The following is a 24,565-nucleotide window of genomic DNA, read 5'->3' on the forward strand; positions in this document are numbered from 1 at the left end:
GTCTAAGGACAAGAAGCTTTGACATCACCTGGGAGCTTGTTAGAAATGCAGAATCTCAGGCCTCACTTCAGACCTATTGACTCGGAATCTGTAGTTTTCAAGATCTTCTGGGTATTCTTACATACAGTAATGTATATACACTGCTCTGAAATTCACACCTTAAAAATGCCTCAAATTCAACTCCCACTCTTTATCTCTGATGTAACTATCATAAGCTGAGCTGTGGGTTCTCAAAACTTGCTGCATAGTACAATCCCTTGGGGTTTTTTTTTGTAAATACCAATGCCAGGTTCTAGACCTCCAGATTCTGATTTAATTCATCCAGAGTGGAGCCCAGGAATCTGTAAGTTTAAAAAGATCCCCAAGATGTTTCACTATGTAGCCAGAACGAAGAACCATTTATCTAAGCCAAAATCGCCCTTTAACTACATGATTATAATAGTCCTTAAACTAGTTCCTCTGTCTTCGGTCTTTCCAGCCCTCCTTATTTCCAATAGAGTGATCTTTCTTAAAATCTGTATGTAAGAACTTTCACTGGCTACTGTTGGCTCCAGCACTGAGTCTGCACAGTTCAACATCTGCCCCCTGCTTATTTATCCAAGGCCTTTTCTCGCCATAGCCTGTGCTCCCCTTGTACTCTTCTGTGTCGCAACCAACTGAGTTATTTGCAGTTCATCAAATGGACCATGGGGTTTTGTGCCATCGTCTTTGCTTTTAATGCTCCCTTTCTCTGCAGTGGCCTTCTTGGTCCTGATGCTGAAGATCTACTCTTTGCATACTCAATTTAAGCATCACCTTCTCTGTTATGCCTATCCAGACCTTACCCTTACCTCCCTGTGGTAGACCTCATCACTCCATCTCTTTGCCACTTTTACATTTAGTGCATATCTACAATACCACATTATAGTTATATTCTAATTATTTTTTGTTATTCCTAACTCTATCAGTCTACAAATTGGAAGCAAGAAGCATGTAATTCCCTTCTGCATCTCCAGAGCTTCAGAGACCGTAAGTATATATGGAATGCATATACGAAGGAATAAAGTAAAATTCATACATATTTCTCTTAAACTTGATTAAAATGACGTGTTCTATAATTTGAAGATGTGCCTTTCCCATATAATGTGATAATGTATAAATATCCAAATTTTCATCAAAAGACTGACTAAATTTTTATCTTAAGATAATTAGTTTCCTGCCTGACTGTAAGATTGAGGAATTATTATGCCATTAATCATGTGTCGCTCGGATGACATTTAGCCATCACTTCTTGATTGTGAGGTATTAATAGAGGCCAGGAGTTAAAGTGGAGCCTTCGGGAGTTAGACAACACCTAGTTCACATCCCACTTCTATTTGTCATCAGGGCAACTTTCAGCAAATTTCTAAACCCCACTGTTCTCATCGATAGTGGAAAGACTTTTATCCACAGTAATAGAAAGTAAAATGAACTATTTTGACATCGTTTTTAATTTTGAGAGTAAAAAATTTTGAGTTTTCTCAACTACTCTTCTAAGAGGTGTGTCTGCTGTGACTTTCTTATCTAAAGAAGGCACTACTAATCAGTTTATGGAAGCTCTCAGAGGTGGAACTTGGAGGACTTAAAAACCTAATCTATACTGAAAGGAGTAACTGATGTAACATAGCATTTTGTTACACTTATTTATCAAATATAACAAATATTTACTGAGTACTTTCTGCATATTAGGCACTGCGGAAGATATTAAATTAGTCCTTGCCGTTAAAACATTAATATAGGTGGATAAAAAGGCATGCATTCACTCTTGGGTGCAATGTACACTATTTGGGTGATGGATACACTAAAAACCCCATATCACCACTGTGAAATATATCCATGTAACACAGCTACCCTCATACCCCTAAATCTATACACTTAAAAAGCCAATGCATGTAATAATTATACCTCATATTTAATACTTTATGCCAGATGATGCCTATATTGCATTAACTCTCATATCCACTCTAGAAGGTATTCATGATTAAAATCTTTGTACTGTAGATTTTTCATAATTTGAAGAGTGAAGTTTCATAGTCCGCTCAAAGGTGCCCAGCTAACAGGTGAGAGAAGTAGGATTCAAGCCAGGTGTTGTCTAACTCCCAAGACCCCACTCTTAGTGGCTCTCTACCAACTCTTTACAATCAAGGGATGATAGCTAAATGTCACCTGAGAGATGCACACCATTGATGGTGTAATAATCCTCCAATCTGACAGTCAGGCAAGAGCTAATTAGCTTCAGATAAAAACTGTCAGTCTTTTGATGCTGCAAATTCAGATATTTGGACACATCTGGTTAATTCACAGAACTTCTACTTTTCATCCAGATGGCTTGTCATCATAAATGTCATAATATAAACACAACCAAACTTGAACTGCTCAAGCTTTCCTAAATGAACCTCAAAGCACTCATTGCTCTTTCAGAAGTAAAATGTTGATTTTGATATGCTATCATCATCTTTTGTGTGGTGCCCCATAATTAAAAACTTTTGATGCTTCATTTCAGGACTACCAAGCTGGAAAATAGAAAGCTGTATTGATGAGAAATGTGGAAGTTTCTTTCTAAAAAATGGAGACAAGTGAGAAATATCACTGGTGTTACAGTCACCTCTGTAGAGTGGAGCTTCTGTTGATTCAAAGAATGCTGGCCTGCTCTAAGGAGAGTAAGACGGAAAGAGACCCAGACCCCAGTGATGGCAAAACATAACCTTCATAGGAGTAGTAGCAATGAAGTCTGTCCACTAGGTAAATCACAAGACAGAAAAGCTGTAAGATATTTTTAGCTGTTTTAGTGCCTGTGCCTTTCCGTAAAAATCTTAGTATTAATATAAGTTTGTCTATGTCTACACACACACACACACACACACACACACACAAACACAGATGCATGCATATGTGAGAACTGGAATTTGGATAGGAATTGCATTAAATCTATTGATTTGCTTTGAAAACTACCAAGTAAAACAACTTCAGTTATCAGTAAATACCGGTACTTAAGCAACACATACCCACTAACAAATACAGGTATCTGGAGAATGTGTTCCTATTCAGATACTCCACAGATTATATAAGGGTGAGCTCAGGCTTTGTCTCAGGAGTAAGACTGTATCATGATGTCATGTGTAAAGTATTCAGTAACCAATACGTTTTGTTTCCAGGTAGACAGCAATGATATGTAAACAAAATGAGTTTTGTCACTCTTTTTCAGATACCCTTTTTTTTTTTTTTTTTTTTTTTTTTGATACAGAGTCTCAATCTGTCGCCCAGGCTGGAGTGCAGTGGCACGATCTCGGCTCACTGCAACCTCTGCCTCCCAGGTTCAAGCAATTCTCCTGCCTCAGCCTCCCAAGCAGAGTAGCTGGAACTACAAGTGCGCACCACCATGCCTGGCTATTTTTTTTATTTTTGGTAGAGACGGGGTTTCACCATGTTGGCCAGGCTAGTCTCAAACTCCTGACATCGGTGATCTGCCTGCCTTGGCCTCCCAAAATGCTGGAATTACAAGCATCAGCCACTGCACCCGGCCTCAGATACCCTTTTAAGAATTGTAGGCCATACATCTCATGGAAATTGAATGGTAATACCTGCCTGCATTCATACTCTTGTAGAGCTAAGACCAGCATGACTTTTTCTGTCCTCTTACTTCTTTGGAGAGGAAACCGACATCTCAGCTAATAGTCATTTATTTTACACTGATGAATTTTAAGCTTTTATCCAAATTCATCATAATTAGAATCAGATAATAGAGTTCTGTGTGAGGCACCAGTAGCGTCCTTTAGAAAATCAAGCGGATTGTAATTAAGAATTGATGTGATACTTGGCAGAACCACAGAGTCTTCTGGGTCACTTTCTGCATGTTCTCTGTGAAGAGCCTTCACAGGAAGCAGCTGGAGCTCCAAAAGGACATTTGACTGGTAAATTGACTTGATTGATTCAAATTTGATTACATACTGGAAACACATTTAGTTCAAGTTAAGCACATTAATATCTAGCAGTTAGAATAAAGACCCAATTCCTTCTTTGTTATTCATTAATAAAACTTAATTACTTCAACAAAACATTAATGAAGAAAAAATATTGGCTTGCATAATTCATTTGGAAAAATTAATTAATTATTTTATTAAGGGCAGCCTGTTCCACAAAGTAATTACTGAGGCTTTGATGGAGAATTGCTTTATGTTATTTACTTAGTAAGTGGTTGTTTACCTTTTTCATCTGTTATGTATATAACTTTTTCCTCCTAGAGGGAAATTAAATATAACCTGAAGTCATGATGGTAACTATGTACTTATAATTGATAAGATGACTGCATTTTAATATGATGTTTACTAAATTCAACCTGTATTCCAAAGATAGAAGGCTTATTTAGTGGCAATATTCTTCCCAGCTAGATTTTCAACACAGTAGTATTTAACAAATAATGTCCTCATTTAGTAGGTAACTAGAAGTTATAAATGAGGGAAAATAAACTTTAGCGGGTTTGTATCTCAGCTTTCCTTTCAATCAGACAAAGCCATGGTTTGTTAATACTTTAACATAAAAGTGCCAGGAATAAGTATTTCATATGAAAATTATAATAATTAACGTTTTCTGAAATGTAATATCCAGGGCTGTATGAATGAGTAATTAAACATAAAACTGAATCAATAGTTCAGAATCCTTTCTTTCAACTTATTTCCTTTATGAGTTTGAGCTACACGCTAAACCTCATCATAGCTATGTAAAATAGAACTATCAACAGAAAACTTCCTGGTATATACTAATGACTTTAATTGGTTTCACAATTAATACAATGACCAATATTAATATTATTTAAGTTAATTGTTAACATAGTGTTTTAAAATTACTTTTTCATTAAATGCAACTGTGAAAGAGCGAGTCATTTGTTTTAAATTATAAATAGGTGATGAGAAGCTATCCTTCTTTTAGAAGCTAATTCATTATCTGCTGTGAATAAGTGAAAGTATTTCTACATTGCATTGCCTAAAAGAGACTTTCATTCCATTACAGGGTAGATTATTCTGCAGGTAATAGCAAGAACACTTGCATAATAGCAGCATGTTTCATTAAGATAAAAAAAGATAAACCCTGCAGTAGTGGCATTCCAAAATAAATCAGCCCAGCCCTGCGCTGATCAGCATTCGCTTTTTCATTACTATGTGGATATGATGGATATTTTTCAAAGCTTAGTTTAGACAAACTGTTCAGAAAGGAATGAGTTCTCCTGATCAAATGAAAATTAAGGTGAAAATAAATGTCCTTCCTCCCTCCCGCCATGGAAATATGTAAGAATAAGAGACAATTATTTCTCAGAACTGTTAAGTCCTCTCAGGATTTTTCTCCTTCATACATTATGCAGCAACTATTTCAAACTCAGCCTATCTCTGAGGGGTGGAAGATAGAGAAAAATAAATGAAAGAATGCCCGTGAATGTCATTCTTTCTAGAGACAGAAGGCACATATCTGCTTGAGTCTCTTTTTTCTATTATGCCACAGAAGCAGATGGCTCAAACCATTTTTTTAAACATTGGATTTCTCCACTTTATTCATTTCTCAGGTAACCACAGGATGGCAGCATAGGACGATAAATCAAAATTGATTGCTTAATTCAAAAACATCCACCAGCGGTTATTAATCAGACTTCAATCCTTTCCTGCCTAACACATGGAAATGGTGGCAAATTCATTCATGGGGAAAGTGTGTGTGATATTTAGTTCTCCCCGTGTGTGTGGTTGCAATGACACCTCACCAAGAAATTTCTCAATTTTAATCCAGTAAGACGGGCATGACAGAATCTGTCTTTCATGCTGTAGTATCCTGTAGCCTCACAGTTTTATCAATCTGAACACGATTTGTAGTGAGAAATATTATAGCTTTAGAGAAGATGTAAAAGATCTATCCATGACAGCCTTACAGCTTCTTTTTTTAGGAATACCCAGTTTCTCGTCTCTGCTCCCATTTCCTTCATTTATAATGATAAAATTAAAATGTGCAAAAATCCATTCTGATTATATCAAGTTATTTCGGCTCATTAATATAGGATTTTTTATTTCCCCATTATTCACTGCAGAACAGGATATAATTTATTTCAAAGCTGGATGAACTATCCAATTAATTTTAGGTACTTTTCAAAGTTTAAAAATTACAATCTTCTCAAAAATTACTTTGGATTTGAAATATCCATATTCCATATACTTTTTTAACTTTATGCGTATTTCCTGTTTCTTCATGTGGCTACAAATACTTCAAATGTTATTATCTGTCATGCTTAAAAATCCTCACTTAGAACAGTACTTGACCTAAAAAATGTTCCGTATGGAAATGTTTTATAAAGAGTTCCATTTGGGACGTTCTACACATTCTTCCTTTTGAAGAGAAGGGATATAGACATTAGTATCAGCCTTTTAAACCCTGCTATTAATATATGCTAATTTAGAGGATATAAACCAAAATGTTACTATTATTTTTCAGGATCCATAATATCTCACAACAGACATGTTGACATCACAAATACTGAACTTTCAATCTACTTTGTTGTCCACTCAGAATATTTGTTAACCAAAAAACCCCCAAAAAATCCAAAATTCCTGAAAGAATTTTTAACTCTATTTTTAAAGTTTCTCATATATTTTAACTGATGTGAATCATTCCATTTATTTTTAAACAATTTTTGTGAAGATTGTACACCATATAACTTTGACCTAACCATGAAAATGATTGAATTTATCAATATATATTGCCATCTAGTGGCCATTTCTTAAATCACATTTTGGATCTGAAAACGGAGTGGACATTTGCCTCAAAAGTGCCACACTGCAGTGATTACATCCAGAAAGATAATTTTAGAGTAATCTCTGAACTCAAACTAACTTATTATAATTTCATTAAGATAACAGTTCAATTTGTTAGGACCACTTTCTTTAGGAAATCTATTTGATTTTCATTTCCTTTATCCATCTTTTCAAAATTTACTGCATACATCTTAAGGGTAAATAATAATTAACCACTGCTTCTAAGAGGTCTAATGTTAGACTGCCTTTGAACTGCCTACCCATATACATTCCCACTTGGCTGTTTACATGCAATTTAATTTATAAATGTTCTAATCATTTCAATTTGATGATAGTCATACTGCCTTTTACAAGAAATAATAGTTGTAATATCAGCTAATTGCGACTAACTAGAACTAAGCTGGTGGTCAGTTCCAAAAGTGATAAAATATTCCTACTTTAAGCCCTAAATATAGTTACTGTTTCATTAATTTAAAAAATACTTTTTTAAAAGCTATTTGGTGTCCTGTATGCTAGTAAGTAGAAATAAATGATAAACAAGTTTCATTTAACTTCTGCTTCATGGGGCATCTATGGGAAAAAATAAATGGTAAACACATAATTATATGCAGAAATACTTCATTGGAGTATGAGAATCATCTCTATTCATTCAGATACCACCCTCCTTTAACATACTAGGGAAGAGAAGCTTTCACATGTCTACCCACTTCTGCACCAGCAGCTGCTTCTCCAAGTCTATTCCCTGCTGGTCACTGCATAAATCACCCACCACCACCCAATACGGTGTTGCTGCCCCACGAAGAACTCAGTAAATGTGGGAGAATGCACTTTACTGCCTTCCTCCTTTGTGTCTCAAGATTCCAAACCAAAAGACCACAAGGGCACGTAAGATAGTACTAAGTGTTTGGGGGATAAAGAAAAAGGAGTTACAACCTAGAGGAGAAAACTGCATGTTAACCATGATCATTACCATAGTAATAAAAAAACGTTGCCAAGAGTTACATTCTTCAGAGCAGACACCTCTGGATGCACCTCAATTCCTAGCAGTTCCTCCCTGTCCTTGGATCCACGTTTCTCTAAGAAAACTCCTGACTTTTCAAATCTTCCCATAGCAGTCGAGACTGTCCCCCTGGGAGGTATTCAAAGATGCTTCCTTCTTCCTAGTTATTCATCCAGCTGGTAACTATTGAACCCAACAAGCAGATGCATCACACATACATAAACCACACACACACACACACACACACACACACACACACACACACATTATTTTCAAGGGCATAAAGCTTAAATTGACAATAAGAAAAAGACATATTTTCCTAAAACAACCCCTTCCATTGCTCATAGAGGCAGCATCCTTCGTCTCCCAAAGAATAGTGGTGGTTTCCGTTTGTTACTTTTCCTTTTTCTTTTTTTCTTTTTGAGACGAAGTCTTGCCCTGTCGCCCAGGCTGGAGTGCAATGGCGCGATCTCGGCTCACTGCAACCTCCGCCTCCCAGGTTCAAACGATCTCCTGCCTCAGCCTCCTGAGTAGCTGAGATTACAGGTGCCTACCACCACACCCAGCTAATGTTTTGTATTTTTAGTAGAGATGGGGTTTCACCATGTTGGCAAGGGTGGTCTCGAACTCCTGACCTCGTGATCTGCCCACCTCAGCCTCCCAAAGTGCTGGGATTACAGGCATGAGCCACCGAGCCTGGCCTCTTTTTCTTTATTTTTTTAGACAGGGTCTTGCTCTGTGCCCAGGCTGGAATGCAGTGGCACGATCGTAGCTCACTGCAGCTTCTACCTTCTGGGGTCAAACGATCCTCCCACCTCAGCCTCCTGAGTAGCTGAGGTGCTCACAACCACGCCCAACTGGTTTTTTATTTATTATTATTATTTTTTTTTTTTGTAGAAACAGGGACCTGCTATGTTGCCAGGCTAGTCTCAAACCCTTGGCCTCAAGGGATTCTCCTGCCTCAGCCTCCCAAAGTGTTGGGATTACAGGTGTGAGCCACCATGCCTGACCACCTTTTCTTTTTTATAAGCCTATGTTCCAAGGCTTCCTGATATATATAAAACAAATAATAAATTGGGTACATTACAGAGCCATACACCCTTTGACGACTCTCTTAGCTACATAAAGACACAGCAGACATTCTGAAATTAAAATTAATGGGAGGTCTTCCCTTTGCATATAAGGTTAGGTTTATGAACAAGGAATTTTTTATTTTTTTCTTACATAAAAGGGAGTCAGAGTAAGTCTTTTATTCTTCCACTTAGTCTTCTAACCAAGCAACACACCTGGAAGTGAGCGATGGGTAGTGATGGTGATGGTATTGAAGGAAACGGTGGTGAATTTTCTCCAGTTACACAGTTTGAGTAACTGCTCACAGGAAAATAAAACCCAGTATTAAAGGTTTGGAAGACAATAAAGTTAAGATGATTCTTCAACAATTAATACAAATTAGCTTGAATAAAAGACCGTTAAAGAGAATGGGAAGAATTCCAAGTAGAAGAAAAACCGTACACAAAGGCCTCAGTGCAGAAAGGAGCTTGACCTCATAAGGCTAGGTTAGTGAAACACTGATATCATCATTCCTTAGCAGGCCATTGGGACTATTTCAATGAGAACACTTTGGGATATGTATTTCTTTCCAGTGAATTGTGTTAACTATGTTATATTTCATCATGGAATTCAGGCTTGGTTGTCTTCCAGTGGTATCTACTTTCCCTTTCCCCTAGGCTAAGGATGTTAAACTACCCAGTTCAACCCCAAAAATACAGATGAGAGTCCATTTTCAATCCCATACCCACTTCACCAGGAGTCCAGGAATCTTCTAAGAGATTCAGATGTTGCGACCATTATGGAGCAGAAATCTTCATAAGATAACGAAAAACTGTCATGAAAACTTAAGACATTTGTACCTCCCACTCACATGTTGGAACTGGAGTGCAAGTACTTTTGGGGCAAGCAGTGTGACATTTCCTCTTAAATGGGAACTAGACAGCAGACAGTTGGGGACTCTGGATATAATTACATGACCTCCCTATGCTGACACTATGCACAGCTGGTACCTGGAAGTCTCTCCTCATAAACCCCAAACGCCTGAGGTCAGCTCTTGAGTCTGACAATGGTCCCGCTCAAAATGATGCTGGCCTACTACGGATGCTTTTATCCTGGCTTAGAGTGACTCTCCCTTCAAAGACTAAGATATCGTCTTTCCTTGCAGCCAGAAATGGGAGAAATGGGGACAGAGTGCAAGAGTCAGAGAGAGGGGGAGACAGAAAGTGGGGGGCGGGGTAGAAAAGTAGAGTTTTCATAGCTTGTTCACTTGGAAGGAAGTTCAAAAAGCAGCTGGGGAAATGTAAGCATAGCTATCATGTGAAAGCAGAAAAGATGTTTCAGAAAATAATGATAAAAATAATGCTAACATACCATTGACAATTTTGAGATAGTTGGCCTGAGAGACCAGTGGAAATGAGAGAGAAAGAGAACGGTCTTTTTCAAAGTGAATATTCTTAACCAATCCTTGACCAATAGAGCTTCCAATTTTCAAATGCTTCGCTAAAATGACAGAAGTCTCTCCATCTTGTTTCAAATATTTTTAATCTTTGCAGTTCTAAACTAAGAGAGTTGGAAGCTATTACACTCCCTGCTTGCCAGCAGAGACATCAGGTGCTTTTTCAATGAACAAACTACCAATTTAGTACAGCTAAATAAAACTAAGCAACAAGTATCTATTACTGAGCAACAAATTATGGCAAAACTTAGTGGCTTAAAAGAAGACATATTTATTATCTCTCAGTTCCTTTCAGTTAGAAATCTGTTCTATTTCAGGGTCTCTCACAGGCTATAATAATGGTGCCAGTGGCCCCTAATCATTGCAAGGCTCAACCAGGTAAGGACCTGCTCCCAAGCTTGCATGGTTGTGGGTAGGACTCAGTTATTCATGGGTTCTTGGGGTAGGGCCTCAGTTCCTCTCTAACTTGTTGGCTGGAGGAGGCCCTCAGATTTTTGCTGTATGGGCATCCTCAACATGAAAACTTGCTTCATCAAATAGTAGAAGCTGAAAAAGCAGTAGAGTCAACAAACAACATGGAAATTGCAATATTTTGTAACCAAATTACAGAAGTCACACCTCCTTAACTTTGTCATGCTCTGTTGGTTAGAACAGAGTCCCAATCTCCAGCCTGCGTTCAAAGAGAGATTATATAAGAGTATGAATACTAGGATATTGGGATCACTGAGGACCATCTTAGAGGTCTTCCTGTCGCAAAAGGAATAGGTTTCTTGATGAGACTTGTAATCATCCTAAATGCCTGTTTTAACTGCCTACTGCATACATTCATACACACAAGAGAGCTTGCAATGTAGCATTTGAACTGGAATGACAATTCAACCATGTCTTTGAAACCTGAGAAATTGTCCTGTGTCTCAATCCAAAGCAATAGCTGGGAAATGGTTTAGCAATGGACACTTATTATCTCGCTGCTAGCCATGCATACTAGTAATACCTGCTAATGCACACATTTCAGCAGCCAGCTTTTCAGTGCTATGAATATTTTAGCCAATATTTAATACCATCAATATTTAACTGCACTGTTTGGACCAGTATTAGATATTTGGACTCACCAATGAATAGGAGACAGTATGGGTCAGGGTTCAAGGAGAACAGACTATACCTCAAGTAGTTCTAGCAAAAATATTAATTAAGAGTATTAATTGTTTACAGACTTGTTGAGAAGCCTGAGAAAACACATTCCAAGTTGAATATGTAGGAAGTAACATTGAGCCACACTGCAGAACAATGTCACCATGGGAGCTAGTTCTACATCAACTGGCTCCAGGAGTAAACCACCACTACTACACTTACAAAACTACCCCCATCAGGACAAAGCCACAACCAAGAAACATCAATTAGCAGGAAGCAATTGCAGAAAAATAAGGCACCTCCAAAATAGTTCTTTCCAGAATCAAAGCATATGAGAAACACAAACCAGGCCTCTGCCTCACTTCTGCCTTCTAGGGTATGTACAAAAGCACCTGATGGATGGAATCAAAATTGTGGCCAAAATCCTAAATGCGAATGAGGCTGAGAAATTTAGCTATTACGTTTCTGGCTTATAAACTGCAGGAAGGTACATGAGAAGGAACAGGGAATTGATGTTTTCAGTGCTGGGTCAATTTGAGTAATAGTTTTTCAGGCCTTCGAATTTGACTCAAAGTAACTCTTGGCATGATCAGAAGAAGAACTGTGTGGGCACGTGTCCCTTCACTGCCACTGTACCAGTTCCTCACCTCCTTTTTCTAGTTGCATTCCTAGAGAAGATGCTGGATCATTAATTTCCATATAGCAAATAGCAAGACGGAGGAGTATAAAATGGGACTGTGATGACACACAGAGATCCATTCCTGCTAACTTTAGGTTGAGTTTTTTTAAATGTCACATTTTGTTTAAATTACAGGTGGTTGAAATTGTTACTTTTGCCTTCAGCAAACTTACAAGAAGAAGAGAAAATCAATATGACCTAGAGAAGAGGTAACTGGTCCAATATAGAAATACATATCTTGTCCTTCAGCAACTGAGACACAAATTGAAGAAGAATTTGCAATCAGTATCACAAATAGGATGCAGCATCCTCATCTGATTTGTCAACTAGATTAATTTGCTTCCTTTTCTTATTCACACTGAATAAGGTCTTGCCACTAGATTCCATACTTTTTCCATACTTTGATTTTATGATAGCTGCACCTGTTCCTCCTCACCTTGTTTGCTGGTTCAAGTAGACAACCACATCAACACATGAGCACAACAATTATTGTTTCAAGTTTCCAGATAATCACCCTATTTTAAATTATAGTTGGTATTTACCTTTCATTTTCTCATATTTTTGTCTTTTTGCCTGTCTTGATAAAAAATTTTTCTGTGGTGTCTCAGTAAAACCTTCCTTTTCTCCAGTAAATTCCACCATGTTCTAAAATAATCTAAATCCTTAGTTGAATGCTGTTCGCTTGAATGCTTTTGCTTCTAGAGCTCTGGTTTTTCTTTACTTTCTCCAAATTCTGACATAGACTTTTTTCTTTCTAGGTAGGAATTTTGCCTAGTTTATTTTGATTTCTATCTGTATTAGGTTATTTAATGAGCTTTTGACTACAGTTTTGGTTTACAGAGTCATTTTTTAGGATCTTTGTCTACCATTTCCCTTGCCTTCAGGTATGGTGCTTTTTTTTTTCTGAAGATCTTGGCCACATCCTTGCCATCAAAAAAAAAAAATCCAAATCATATTATGATTCACTACTCATTAATATGGAAAGAATGTCTAGACATCCTTTTCCTCTTCACTATTCTCACACAGAAATTAAAAATCCATACTTTCATAGAAAAGAAAACTCCTGCCTTACACAAAAAACTCTTAAGTACAGTTTTAAAATATTTACAATTATTTATATTAATGTTTTTAAAATATTTTCCTTGGTATTCTCTAATGGAAACAAATCCTGTCTAAATTTGCAATTAATTTTGGAAGAAAATATTTATTATATAGAAATGTTGTTGTAACATTAAGATTTTTGTCATTATTCTTGGAACCAACCCAAATGTCTATCAATGATAGACTGGATTAAGAAAATGTGGCACATATACACCATGGAATACTATGCAACCATAAAAAAGGATGAGTTCATGTCATTTGTAGGAACGTGGATGAAGCGGGAAACCATCATTCTCAGCAAACTATCACAAGGATAAAAAACCAAACACCACATGTTCTCACTCATAGGTGGGAATTGAACAATGAGAACACATGGACACAGGAAGGGGAACATCACACACTGGGGCCTGTCGTGGGGTTGGTGGGGGAGGGATAGCATTAGGAGATATACCTAATGTAAATGACGAGTTAATGGGTGCAGCACACCAACATGGCACATGTATACATATGTAACAAACCCGCATGTTGTGCACATGTACCCTAGAACTTAAAGTATAATAATTTAAAAAAAGACAATAAAAAAAGATTTTTGTCATTATTTTCTCCAGCTAGAACATCTGTATATAAATTAAGGAGATAGTAAGTAAGAAGAAAAAGAAATAAAAAGACTAAGTAGGTGCTAAATAAGTATATAACTCATCCTTGATATATTTTAAAAATTGACTGGGGTAATATTTTTTAACACTACCATTGTTTTCATGAAATGAAGACAGATAATTCTTAATGTCTAGTATTGAAAACATATGGATTCTTGACATGATATCAATAAAATGTATGTGGTTAAGGTAAGAGGTAAGAGATTAGCTTTTACTTTTACCACCCAGATTTTTGATGTTGATACACAAAGCTGGAGTATAACAGCCTAATACGTATGCATCTAGATAAATCTAAAATGGTTTTATCTCAAGCTGAATTCATCATAATGTAGAATAAAACCAGTTAAAATAAATTTACCAGTTGCAATCAAACAAGAAATGAAGCTTAGTCATATGCACCCCCCAAACTTCGAAAAGAAAAACAAACACCAAAATAAATAAACAAAAGTCTTGTGATTTTATATGTAGCACAGCTTCTGACCTCCATCCCACCTCGAAGAGAGAGTACTGAGAAAAGAATAGAAATTATTTTTTAAATCCTGAATATTCCTACCAACAGCCTTCAATTCTGAGATAAGCTGACAGCTGCTGTGAGGAAAATTACAAAGATAAAACCACCGAGACTAGGAAACTGCTGGGAGCAGAAGTTTTCAAGGTTCACCTTGAGACCTCAGCTTAGGTAGGAAGATCACACACAGCTTTTTGTCTTTCAGTGCACTAGGCTGAGTGGAGGATGAAACTTCGCTACCTTAAGAACGAAAGGATCCCCAGCTGGGATAGTTCAGATTGGTGGAAACTGGGGATGATATGTGTTTTGTTATTTATACTTGTTTTCAATGTTTATATTTTTAATAATAAGCATATATCATTTTTATTATAATAATATCTTTTTTATAAAACAGAAACATAATGATTATTTCATTATACCTTTTAAAAAACAGGAACATTATGATTATCTCGTTATACCTTTTTATGTTCCTGTTTTTTATAAAAGATACATGCAGAAAGATTTATCATGATATTAAGTGGTTATTGACTTGGTTGGGCATTGACATTCTAACACACTCCTACGGGCAGTCAACACCACAGAGCAGCTCACCTCTCTCTGTTTACCCTTGTGTCATTATTAAAATAATCCTTTGAAAGTGCTTGGTTGACATTCTCCAAAATCACCCCTTTATTCTCAAAGGTCTTATTTGGACAAATTTTTATCCATAAAGCACTTCTTAGTTAATTGAAAATGTAATTGGAAGCAAAACCAACCTTAAAGCCTACTTGTGAGGATATTTCATAATTACAACATTAATTGGGTTGATTAAGTCAACATGATTTTGAAAATTACCTTCACAAAGACAGTTCCTATGTCCACACATTATAGTTTCTCAGAAAAAGAGTGTCATTTCTTCTAAAAGAAAAAATACAAGAATTCGTTAAAAACATAAAAAAGGATTTAAAACATGAAGTCAACACTACTAGCTATTTTCAAATATATTTTTTAAAAAGTCAACAGATATATATATTTGTAAATGAAAGCAAATAATTTTATGACTTGAAATAAATATGTGATATTATATATAAAGTATCTGAAGTATATTTACCAACTCTACAGGGTAATCAAGCACAGCGATGTAAGCTGTTGTACATAAATATTACCAAAATCAGGAAGTATTTTATACATAATTTCTACAGACGAATGTTATCACTGAGCCTGAGTCATTATGATTTAACATTCTACTCATGGCTCATTGGGGAATAAAGCTAAACTTCTAGATAATAAACAATGCATTCTTTAATTATTTTATTCCCAGCACATCTTTTCACACATAAAATACCAGAAGATGCATACAAACATGAAAACAAATGGAATTATTTGGAAAGTTAAGAATTCTGTAGAATCCAACGTCAGCAGAATAGCAGACTAAAAAGCTCCAAATGCTTTTCCTCCAAAGAAACGTTAAAAAACAACAACAAAACACCCTGAAATGATCTAAACCAACTTTGAATGAACTCTGAAAACAAAGGTTTGTAGCAACCAAGCAAACACCCAATCAAGAAGAAGACATCTCCAAAACGGTAGGAGACATTTTGTGGTGTTTTTACTTTCTCCACTCCGTCCCTGGCCCAGTGGCAATCTTGGTATTGGAAAAAGCAACTCAGTTTCTAGTTCCCCTCATCCTCAAATTGAAGGGAGCAGAACATACCTTATTTGCAAATTACTGGGCATATCTGTTCTAACCTGGTTGGAGGTTATTTGAAGAACTGATGCGCTAGTCTCTGTCTGGCATAATTTGGAATACAGGCAAAGAAAGAGGTCCTCATAAAAGCTATAAGGAACTACAAACCCACACATGCTTGGGATAGGAGATCACACATAATAGACCATCTAAGGCCCAGAGAGGAAGCTGGGGTAAGACTCTGGGAAATTAGGACATTGAATAGTAACTGCTTACATACACACGGGACTTTAGAGAGTCACAAGTGCATGTCCAGCCAAGACTCATGCTCAGAAATGTCCTGAGAAGACCTTAAGCTTTCACCTCAAGGTGAGACCTAGGATCAAAGCAAGCCTAGCTAACCGGTGAATGGCTACCCCTGCATGAAGTACATTTGTGTAGACTGGGAGAGGTAGTTGTTCTTTCTTTTCAGTCTTTTGTGTGTGTGTGTGGTGGCGGGGTGGGCAAGGGGGTGTTTTTGTTTATTTGTCTGTTTCAGCTCCTGGCATTCAAGGAAATCTCTTTCAAAGCATTTGCCGAACATGAGCTGAAGGAACAGAGGCTTCAATGAGTACATATAACAAGAATAATTGCTGCATAGTTTAAAAATGTCTCAAAACAGATGGATTACTGAAGCTTTTAACAATTAAAAAAATAGAAAGTCTTGAAGAATGGGGAAAATCTGATTTTCAGAGTTACCGCATTATAATAATGAAATGGCCAATTTGCAACAACAACAAAATAATCACTAGGTATATAAGGAAGAGGAAAACATGGCTCATTCAAAGGAACAAAATAAATTGACATAAACTGGCTGGGAGGAAGCCTAGACATCACACTTACCAGACAAAAAAATTTAAAACAACTGTCTTAAATGTGCCCAAAGAGCTAAAGCAAAATTACAAATCTGTTTTAAAAAATTGAAGTGAAAAAGGGAAATAGGAGGAAAATAAAATACACATCCCAATTCCCTTATCTATAGTAGCTGAGACTCAAAATATTTAATATATCATATAAAGAGGGCAATTCAAGTAACAGAAGTCTCAGCATATTTAAAAGTACAGAGGTAAACACTATGAAAGACAATACTATTGACTAAAATTGTGTAGTGAGGAGATGTAAAAAAAAAAAAAAAGAGAGAGAAGAGGTAATAGGCTAATTTTACCACCACCTAACGTTACTTTAATATCCACAAGTGAAAAAAGCATTATAGTAAGTTTTGCGATCAGAAAGTGTGATCTTCCAACTTTGTTTTCTTTTTCGTTTGGTTTGGCTATTGGCCTTGAGTTTCCTTATCAGTTTTAGTATCAGTTTGTCAAATTCTGCAAAGACACCAGTTAGGATTCTGATAGGAATTGTGTTGAATCTGAAATCAATCTAGGGTTTATTGCCATCTTAACAATATTCTGTATTTTTCAAAAAGCCACTTAGATCAGTCTCTATCCTGAAATCTTAACCTAATCAATTTTCCAGAATTTTTAACAGAATTTAAAAAAAATAGGCCATAATTCACGTAATGTTGACAAGGTATGGAAAATAAATAAATTTTATCATAGAAATTATATCAAGTACATTTATTTATTTATTTACTTATTTATTTATTTATTTATTTAATATTTTTTTGAGACGGATTCTTGCTGTCGCCCAGGCTGGAGTGCAATGGCGCAATCTCGGCTCACTGCAACTTACACCTCCCAGGTTCAAGCCATTCTCCTGCCTCAGCCTCCCAGGTAGCTGGGACTACAGGCATGTGCCCCCAAGCCCAGCTAATTTTTTTGTATTTTTAGTAGAGATAGGGTTTCACCATGCTGTACAAGCTGGTCTCAAACTCCTGACCTCAAGTGATCCACCCACTTCTGCCTCCCAAAGTGCTGGGATAACAGACGTGAGCCACCACGCCCAGTCGAGTACGTTTATTTGATTCGTGTCAAAGCAGCAGGAAGAAACACTTATAAATATCTACCCACCACACCCGAATTGCACTGAGTTTTATGGTGTGTTAAAATAAAGCATCTGGTTTTAAATAAAGAAGGGAAAAGCAAAGAAAATAAAACAATGTATTAACTATGAATTAAGGTACAGCTGAAGTAATTAACAATAGATTAAATGGATCAATAATTACCATATCATACATTAGTCATGTTTGACACCTTCCAAAAAGTATCTAAAATATGTTACCTGGACACATACATAAACTCAGGGGTAGAATTAACTCCGTAGTAAAACAATTTGACAAGTGACCTTACCTCTATTTATAGAGAATGTCAGTAAACACAATTGATACGATTTTTATTATAAAAGTTACAGAAATTTCCAGATTTAATCACCTAGAAAACTTTGTTTTAATCTGCTTAATCATAAGGAAGATTGTTCCATGTATTTGTTTGACAGGCTCCTCGGAATCTAAATATTTATATATTTTGCCTTTCTTACCACCATGTAAATTGTAGAACCGTTGGTGCAAAGATCAAAAGAAAACCTAGACTGAGGGACCAAAAGATGGCATAAGGTTTGGAAGGATATGTGGGCTCTGTGTGAAGGGAATGTTTTCCAAGCATTGTAACAAGAGTGCATTGACTTGAGGTGGAGACAAAACATTAAAAGGTAACGTAAGCTGGCTGGAGGGAAAACATCAGATCTGAAATCAGATCAGGCTCGTTGCTGTGAAGATATGTTAGAAGGCAAGTTAGAGTCCCATTGTTAGAAGAAGAACAAGATGCCAAATGTTGATCCTGGCAGCTTAAGTTCTCAAAAACATTTGCTGGTTCATGTCTTTTTATATATTCCCTGGATATTCCAGAGTCACTCACATAGGGCCTCCACTATGACGTGCAAATAAGGCATCTGGCAAGTGGCAAAGCCAGGATGCAAACTCAGTTCTAACTGTGGGTTAGAACAAAGGAGCAGAAAAAAATAACATAACCATCCTGGCTAACACGGTGAAACCCCGTCTCTACTAAAAATACAAAAAATTAGCCGGGCGCGGTGGCGGGCGCCTGTAGTCCCAGCTACTCGGGAGGCTGAGGCAGGAGAATGGCGTGAACCCGGGAGGCGGAGCTTGCAGTGAGCCGAGATTGCGCCACTGCAGTCCGCAGTCCGGCCTGGGCGACAGAGCGAGACTCCGTCTCAAAAAAAAAAAAAAAGAAAAAATAACATAAAAGAAGGAGGAAGGAGGAGGTGGGGGAGGCAGATGACAGGGGGAAGAAAATAAAGAGTGTTGGCTTCTGCAACACATATACTAAAATTGTACATCAATGACACAGAGATTAGCGTGACCCCTGCACAGGGATAACACGCAAACTTTGTGAAACATTTCATATAAATTGAAGAATGGGATAGGCATGGTGGCTCACGTCTGTAATCTCAGCACTTTGGGAGGCTGAGGCGGGTGGATCACTTGAGGTTAGGAGTTTGAGACCAGCCTGGTCAACATGATGAAATCCCGTCTCTACTAAAAATACAAACACAAAAATTAGCCGGGTGTGGTGGTGTGAGCCTGTAATCCCACCTGCTTGGGATGCTGAGGCAGGAGAATTGTGTGAACCTGGGAGAGGGAGGTTGCAGTGAGCCGAGATCACACCGCTTCACTCCAGTTTGGGCGACAGAATGAGATTCCATCTCAAAAAAAAAAAAAAAAAAAAGAAGAATGTTTTAAAAAAGAGAAGAGAAGGCAAAGAAAGAAGATGAAAAGGAAGAGAAGGAAAAAAAGAAGAAAACATGTGCACAAACATTTAACCTATGGTGCAGACACTATTATAGCTCATGTCTCTGCTCTGCTCAAAACCATCCAATAGATCTTATTCAAAGTGAGATCCCATATCATTATTACTTTTTAAATTTTGCTTGTTTGTTTGTTTGCTTGTTTTGAGACAAGGTCTCACTCTGTCACCCCGGCTGGAGTGCAGTGACACAATCATAGCTCACTCAGCCTCCAACTGCTGGGCTCAAGTGATCCTCCTGCCTCAGCCTCCCAAGTAACTGGGCCTACAGGCATGTGCCACCACACTAGCTAATTTATTTAATTTTTTGTAGAAATGAGGTCTCACTATGTTGCCCAGACTGGTCTTGAGCTCCAGATCTCAAGCAATCCTCTTGTCTCAGCCTTCCAAAGCACTAGAATTATAGATGTGAGCCACCATGCCTGGCCTCCCATCTGCTATCACAGTCAATGACCCTACAGACTCTGGCTTCCCACTGTTGCCTTCTCTTCATTTCCTGTTACTCTTCCTTGCTCTCAGTCAAGTTCAGCTGCATCCACTTTATTGAACATATCAAGCAAAATAGCACCTGAGGGCCCTTGAGTTAGCTGTTTCCTTTCCCCAGAAGTTCTCTGCCCATTTTTGCTGCATGCCCACTGGCTTGCCACCTCACTTCCTTTCACTTTCTTCAGGTCTCTACTCAAATACTGCCTTTTCGTAAGGGCGTCCTTCGACCACTCTTAATAAAATAAAAACCTGCCATCGTTCTCTATGCCCCTCACTCTGCTTTATTTTTCTTCGTGTTATTTATTGCTGCATGATGTATTATACATGTATTTGTACATTTGTTTATTACCTGTCTCCCTTCTGTTTCTGGGATGCAATTGACAAGAGAACACAGATTTTGACTATTTTATTCACTGCTACATCTTTAGCCTCTAGAACTGTGTGCTTGGCATGTGGTAGTTCACCAAGAAATATTTGTGAAAGTTTGAATGACTGAATAACTGAACAATCAAATGAAGAGCCCTGTTTTAGAGAACAAACTGAAACACAGAGAAACTAAGTAGCTTGCCCAGGTCACTTGGAAAGTTAAACATTTTTCTCATGGTAAGCCAAACAATTATTATACCTGTTTAGAACATAACTTGCATTCAAACTTGAAGCTTATATTTTGTCTGTGTGTGTGCATGTGTCTGCATGTGTGCGTGTGCCTGCTTGCATATGTGCATGTGTGCATGTGTCTGCGTGTGTGTGTGCCTGTGTGTGTGCGCATGTGGGCCTGTGCATGTCTGTGTGTGTGTGCGTGTGTGTGTGCATGTGTGAGTCTGTGTGTGCAAGTGCATGTGTGTGGGTGTGTGCGTGTGTGTGCGCATCTGTGTGCTCATTTGTGTCTGTGTGTGTGTCTGTGTGTGTGTATGTCTGTGTGTGCGTGGGTGTGCATGTATGCATGTCTCTGTGTGTGTGCGTATGTGTGCGTGTGTGTGCGCGTGTGTGTGCATGTGTGTTTATGTGTTGTCCTTATCTTTGGATCATTGTTCTTTTGTTGCCTTGTCCTCGTCTATCAAGACAATAATCTGATTCTGTTGTTAGTTTGGTATGCATGTTGATGTATAGATTGGAGATAGGAAATTATGACAGATAGCTGACATAATTTGTTTAATTGGATTACCAAGAAAATCTGTTGAGAAAGATTGGTTAGATTCAAAAATTACAACTTTTTGAAGTACTAGTATAAAATAGTATTTTTAAAAATTTTTTGAGAAGTCCTCTTCTGAAGATCGTAAGAGCAGAAATCCTTCACTTTGATTTCCAATTAATTGAAGGGGCATATAATCCTTGAAATTCAGACACAATCTATGGATAGAAGAATGAGGAGAACCCTAATTTTAACCTAATTAAATTGTGTTTTTGTTTCACTCTTGCCACCTGCCTTAATGGGAAGGATGTCAAGATAAAGACAAAAGTTATGAAAAAATAAAGGCATATTTTCTACATCTGAATTTGTGATTGATTATATGATTTGTAGTCTAAGTTAATACATAAATAAAATTGAATTCCTTCTAAATGATATATGATCTTTCTGGATCAAGAGGCTGAGGTGAGTGGCTTTCTTTTGAAGAGTACATTTCAAGGTTTAGACTGAGAAAGGTATTCATGTTACACTACTCTGAGACATCGCTTTGTGGATCACAGATATCCCACTTCATTAAGGTAGAACAACAGAAAAAAATGTGACTAAACCAATATGATTCTGAGAAAACTCATGTCACTTCTTTCTTCTCTACTTTTGTTTTCTCTTTCTATGCCTTATATGCTTAAGACCTTTTTTTATATTTCCCCAAATAAACTTATATAATAATATATATCTGCTTTAACGTGTCTGGGATGATTCATATTAAGAAAAAAACAGAGATCTCAATGTATTAGAAATTTCTGTGAAATTCTTCTTTAGCTTGGACACATCACATTATGTCATAGAAACTTGAAAAGTCTATGAGCCATAATTTTAATGTCACAGCACAATTCTATAACTGGTAGTGCAATTTACGCAGAATCAGATTACATATGTACAGGGAGTTAATCTATTAAGGTTAAAACTAAAATCTATCTTTTAATAAAATAAATTACACATTTGTATTGCACAATGCACATTTACCTTAAGGTATTCGGAAAATAAAACAATAAAATCAATATAAATTATGTGAGAATTCAGTAGCAAAATACTCAGACCCCTTGTGGAATCATATTGCATCTATTAGTTTGAGCCAATAAAAAACACTGGTTTATAGTGTTCATAGTGCGTATATTCCTCCCACTATGGTTGCATTGTGCATGGGAGGCAGAGAAATATTCTTGAACGGCTAAGTAGCAGCTGTAGCTTTCTTCAAATTGGTTTCTGAAGATCCTTTTCTCTTTGAAGTTGTCTTTAGTAACAGTCCTGGCACTGTCAATGAGTCTGTCCAGCCCCAAGTGTCTATTCCTGTTTGTTCATGGGCGTGGGAGAGGTCTGAGTCACTGAAGGGTGTGTCCCCCACTTTCTTGTAGATACTTGAAAAGGAGCCATGCACACTGGTGCCCAGAGGCAAAGGCAGAACACCTGGAGGACTCACGTGGAACTTACGTAACCCACCCCCTCCAAAAAAAAAAAACGAAAAGTGCAAACCAGTTTATCTCAAAAGGAAATGTTTCTTGCCTCTCTTTCATTAATTTCCAGTTGTTTTTTTTGTTTGACTAGTGGCTAAGAATCTCAGTTCACTTCTCCTATGTTCCAGAAATTAACTTCTCTTATTTTTCTGTTGGTCAGTTTCTATTTAGAGTCCTAACTGAACCAAAGTAGTAGAGATAAATCTCAGTCTTTTGGGATTTTTTCACCCCAATGTTTCTGAGGCTGAGTGTAAATTTTGCCTACTCCTGTGGGGTAGTAAGAGTTCTGGGTATGACCATCTGGTGTTTGGTCATAAACTTGCACAGGTGGTCACTGAGGCAGCTCTTACTCCAGTCATGGTCACCTGGGAGTTTCAGACCAGGAGTTTCCATGTTAATTTTATGGTTTACTTACATAGTAGCTAAGAAGCACTGAGAGGCAAAGTTGCTTAAATGGGATGGGAGCTGGGCAATAAGAACAAATCAAACACCAGAAAAGAAAAAAAAGTGTTACAGAATGTTTGTGTGTATTACAATCTCATGCTTTTGGGGAGAAAAACTAATTTCTTCCCCATCTTCCCAGGTGCCCATACTAAATCCTGTGGTCTGTCTGTTCTCTGGAAGGTAAAATGTTGCGCAGCCAACAGACAGGGACAGAAGCTCCTGGGGAGGGTCTCTTGAAACTCAACAAAGCACAGTCTGGGAGAAAGAACATCTTATATAGAGGCAAATGTGATCATTTTTAAGTAGATTTGATGCTGCTACTTTTTTGGTGAATTTATTTTAGAGCAGAGGCTAGTATTTTAGTGCAAGCCACTCTCAATCATGAATATAAAAAGTCTAGGCAAGGACTCCCTAAAGATGTTCAGTGGTGTTACGCAGAACGTGTTCTGGCACAGGAATGTAGCATGTTATTTTCAGCAGACATTACCCTCCAGAATGGATTCTATTTTAGACAGCATGCTGACTAACGCATAGAGCAGTTTGACAGAAACATGGATCCATTTAGACAGTTCAGATCTGAACAACAACAGATTTTCAACTCGTTTCAAATTTTTAGAAGGTTTTACCCTTTTGAGTATAGTAGAATTATGCTTGGATTTATAAATTTTTATCCAGAAGGTATTTTCCAGCTTAAATAAAATTAAACAATTTTAATTTTTCCAAAGCAAAGTTAAACTAATTTTTAAAATTATTTCATTAAAATTATTTTAATAGGAATTACTTTCTGCTTATATTTTACAATAAAAATTGAATCATTTGATTAATTGGCCCCTTATATAAAATTAAACCATTTATAGTATTTGCATTGTCAGTTTTCTTTGTGACCATTTATGCTAGCCAATTTTTATAGCTGTAAATTTTTGCCAAGAAGATATGATGCTTCCACAGATAACAAGTATTTGTACATACTGTTATACTTATTATCAGATCTATTTTTGCTTTATCTCATTTGATGTTCCTTTTAAAAATACTCATTTTGAATTTGATAGAAGACTGATAATCATATTTGTTTCTGAGTAAAGCCTGAACAAGTCCTTTCAGATATTCTAGGATTTCATTCCCAAGTAAAGGGATGCATGAAAAGTCCTCATTTCAGTGAAAGAAGCCAGACACACAAGGCCACA

The 24,565-nt window shown here is 37.1% G+C and overlaps 1 pseudogene, besides 1 other annotated feature; it reads left to right on the forward strand.

Moving 5' to 3' along the window:
• Positions 19,307–19,416, forward strand: RNU6-857P (RNA, U6 small nuclear 857, pseudogene; annotated as a pseudogene).
• Positions 21,059–21,255: a silencer, noted in NCBI's record as "fragment chr18:28565824-28566020 (GRCh37/hg19 assembly coordinates)". NCBI's record gives its function as "represses an EF-1alpha promoter that drives an FKBP-Casp9 reporter gene in an ReSE screen in HepG2 liver carcinoma cells {active_cell/tissue: HepG2}" and the evidence as "EXISTENCE:reporter gene assay evidence [ECO:0000049][PMID:32094911]".

Source organism: Homo sapiens, chromosome 18 (assembly GCF_000001405.40).
Source record: "Homo sapiens chromosome 18, GRCh38.p14 Primary Assembly".
NCBI classification, from domain to species: domain Eukaryota; kingdom Metazoa; phylum Chordata; class Mammalia; order Primates; family Hominidae; genus Homo; species Homo sapiens.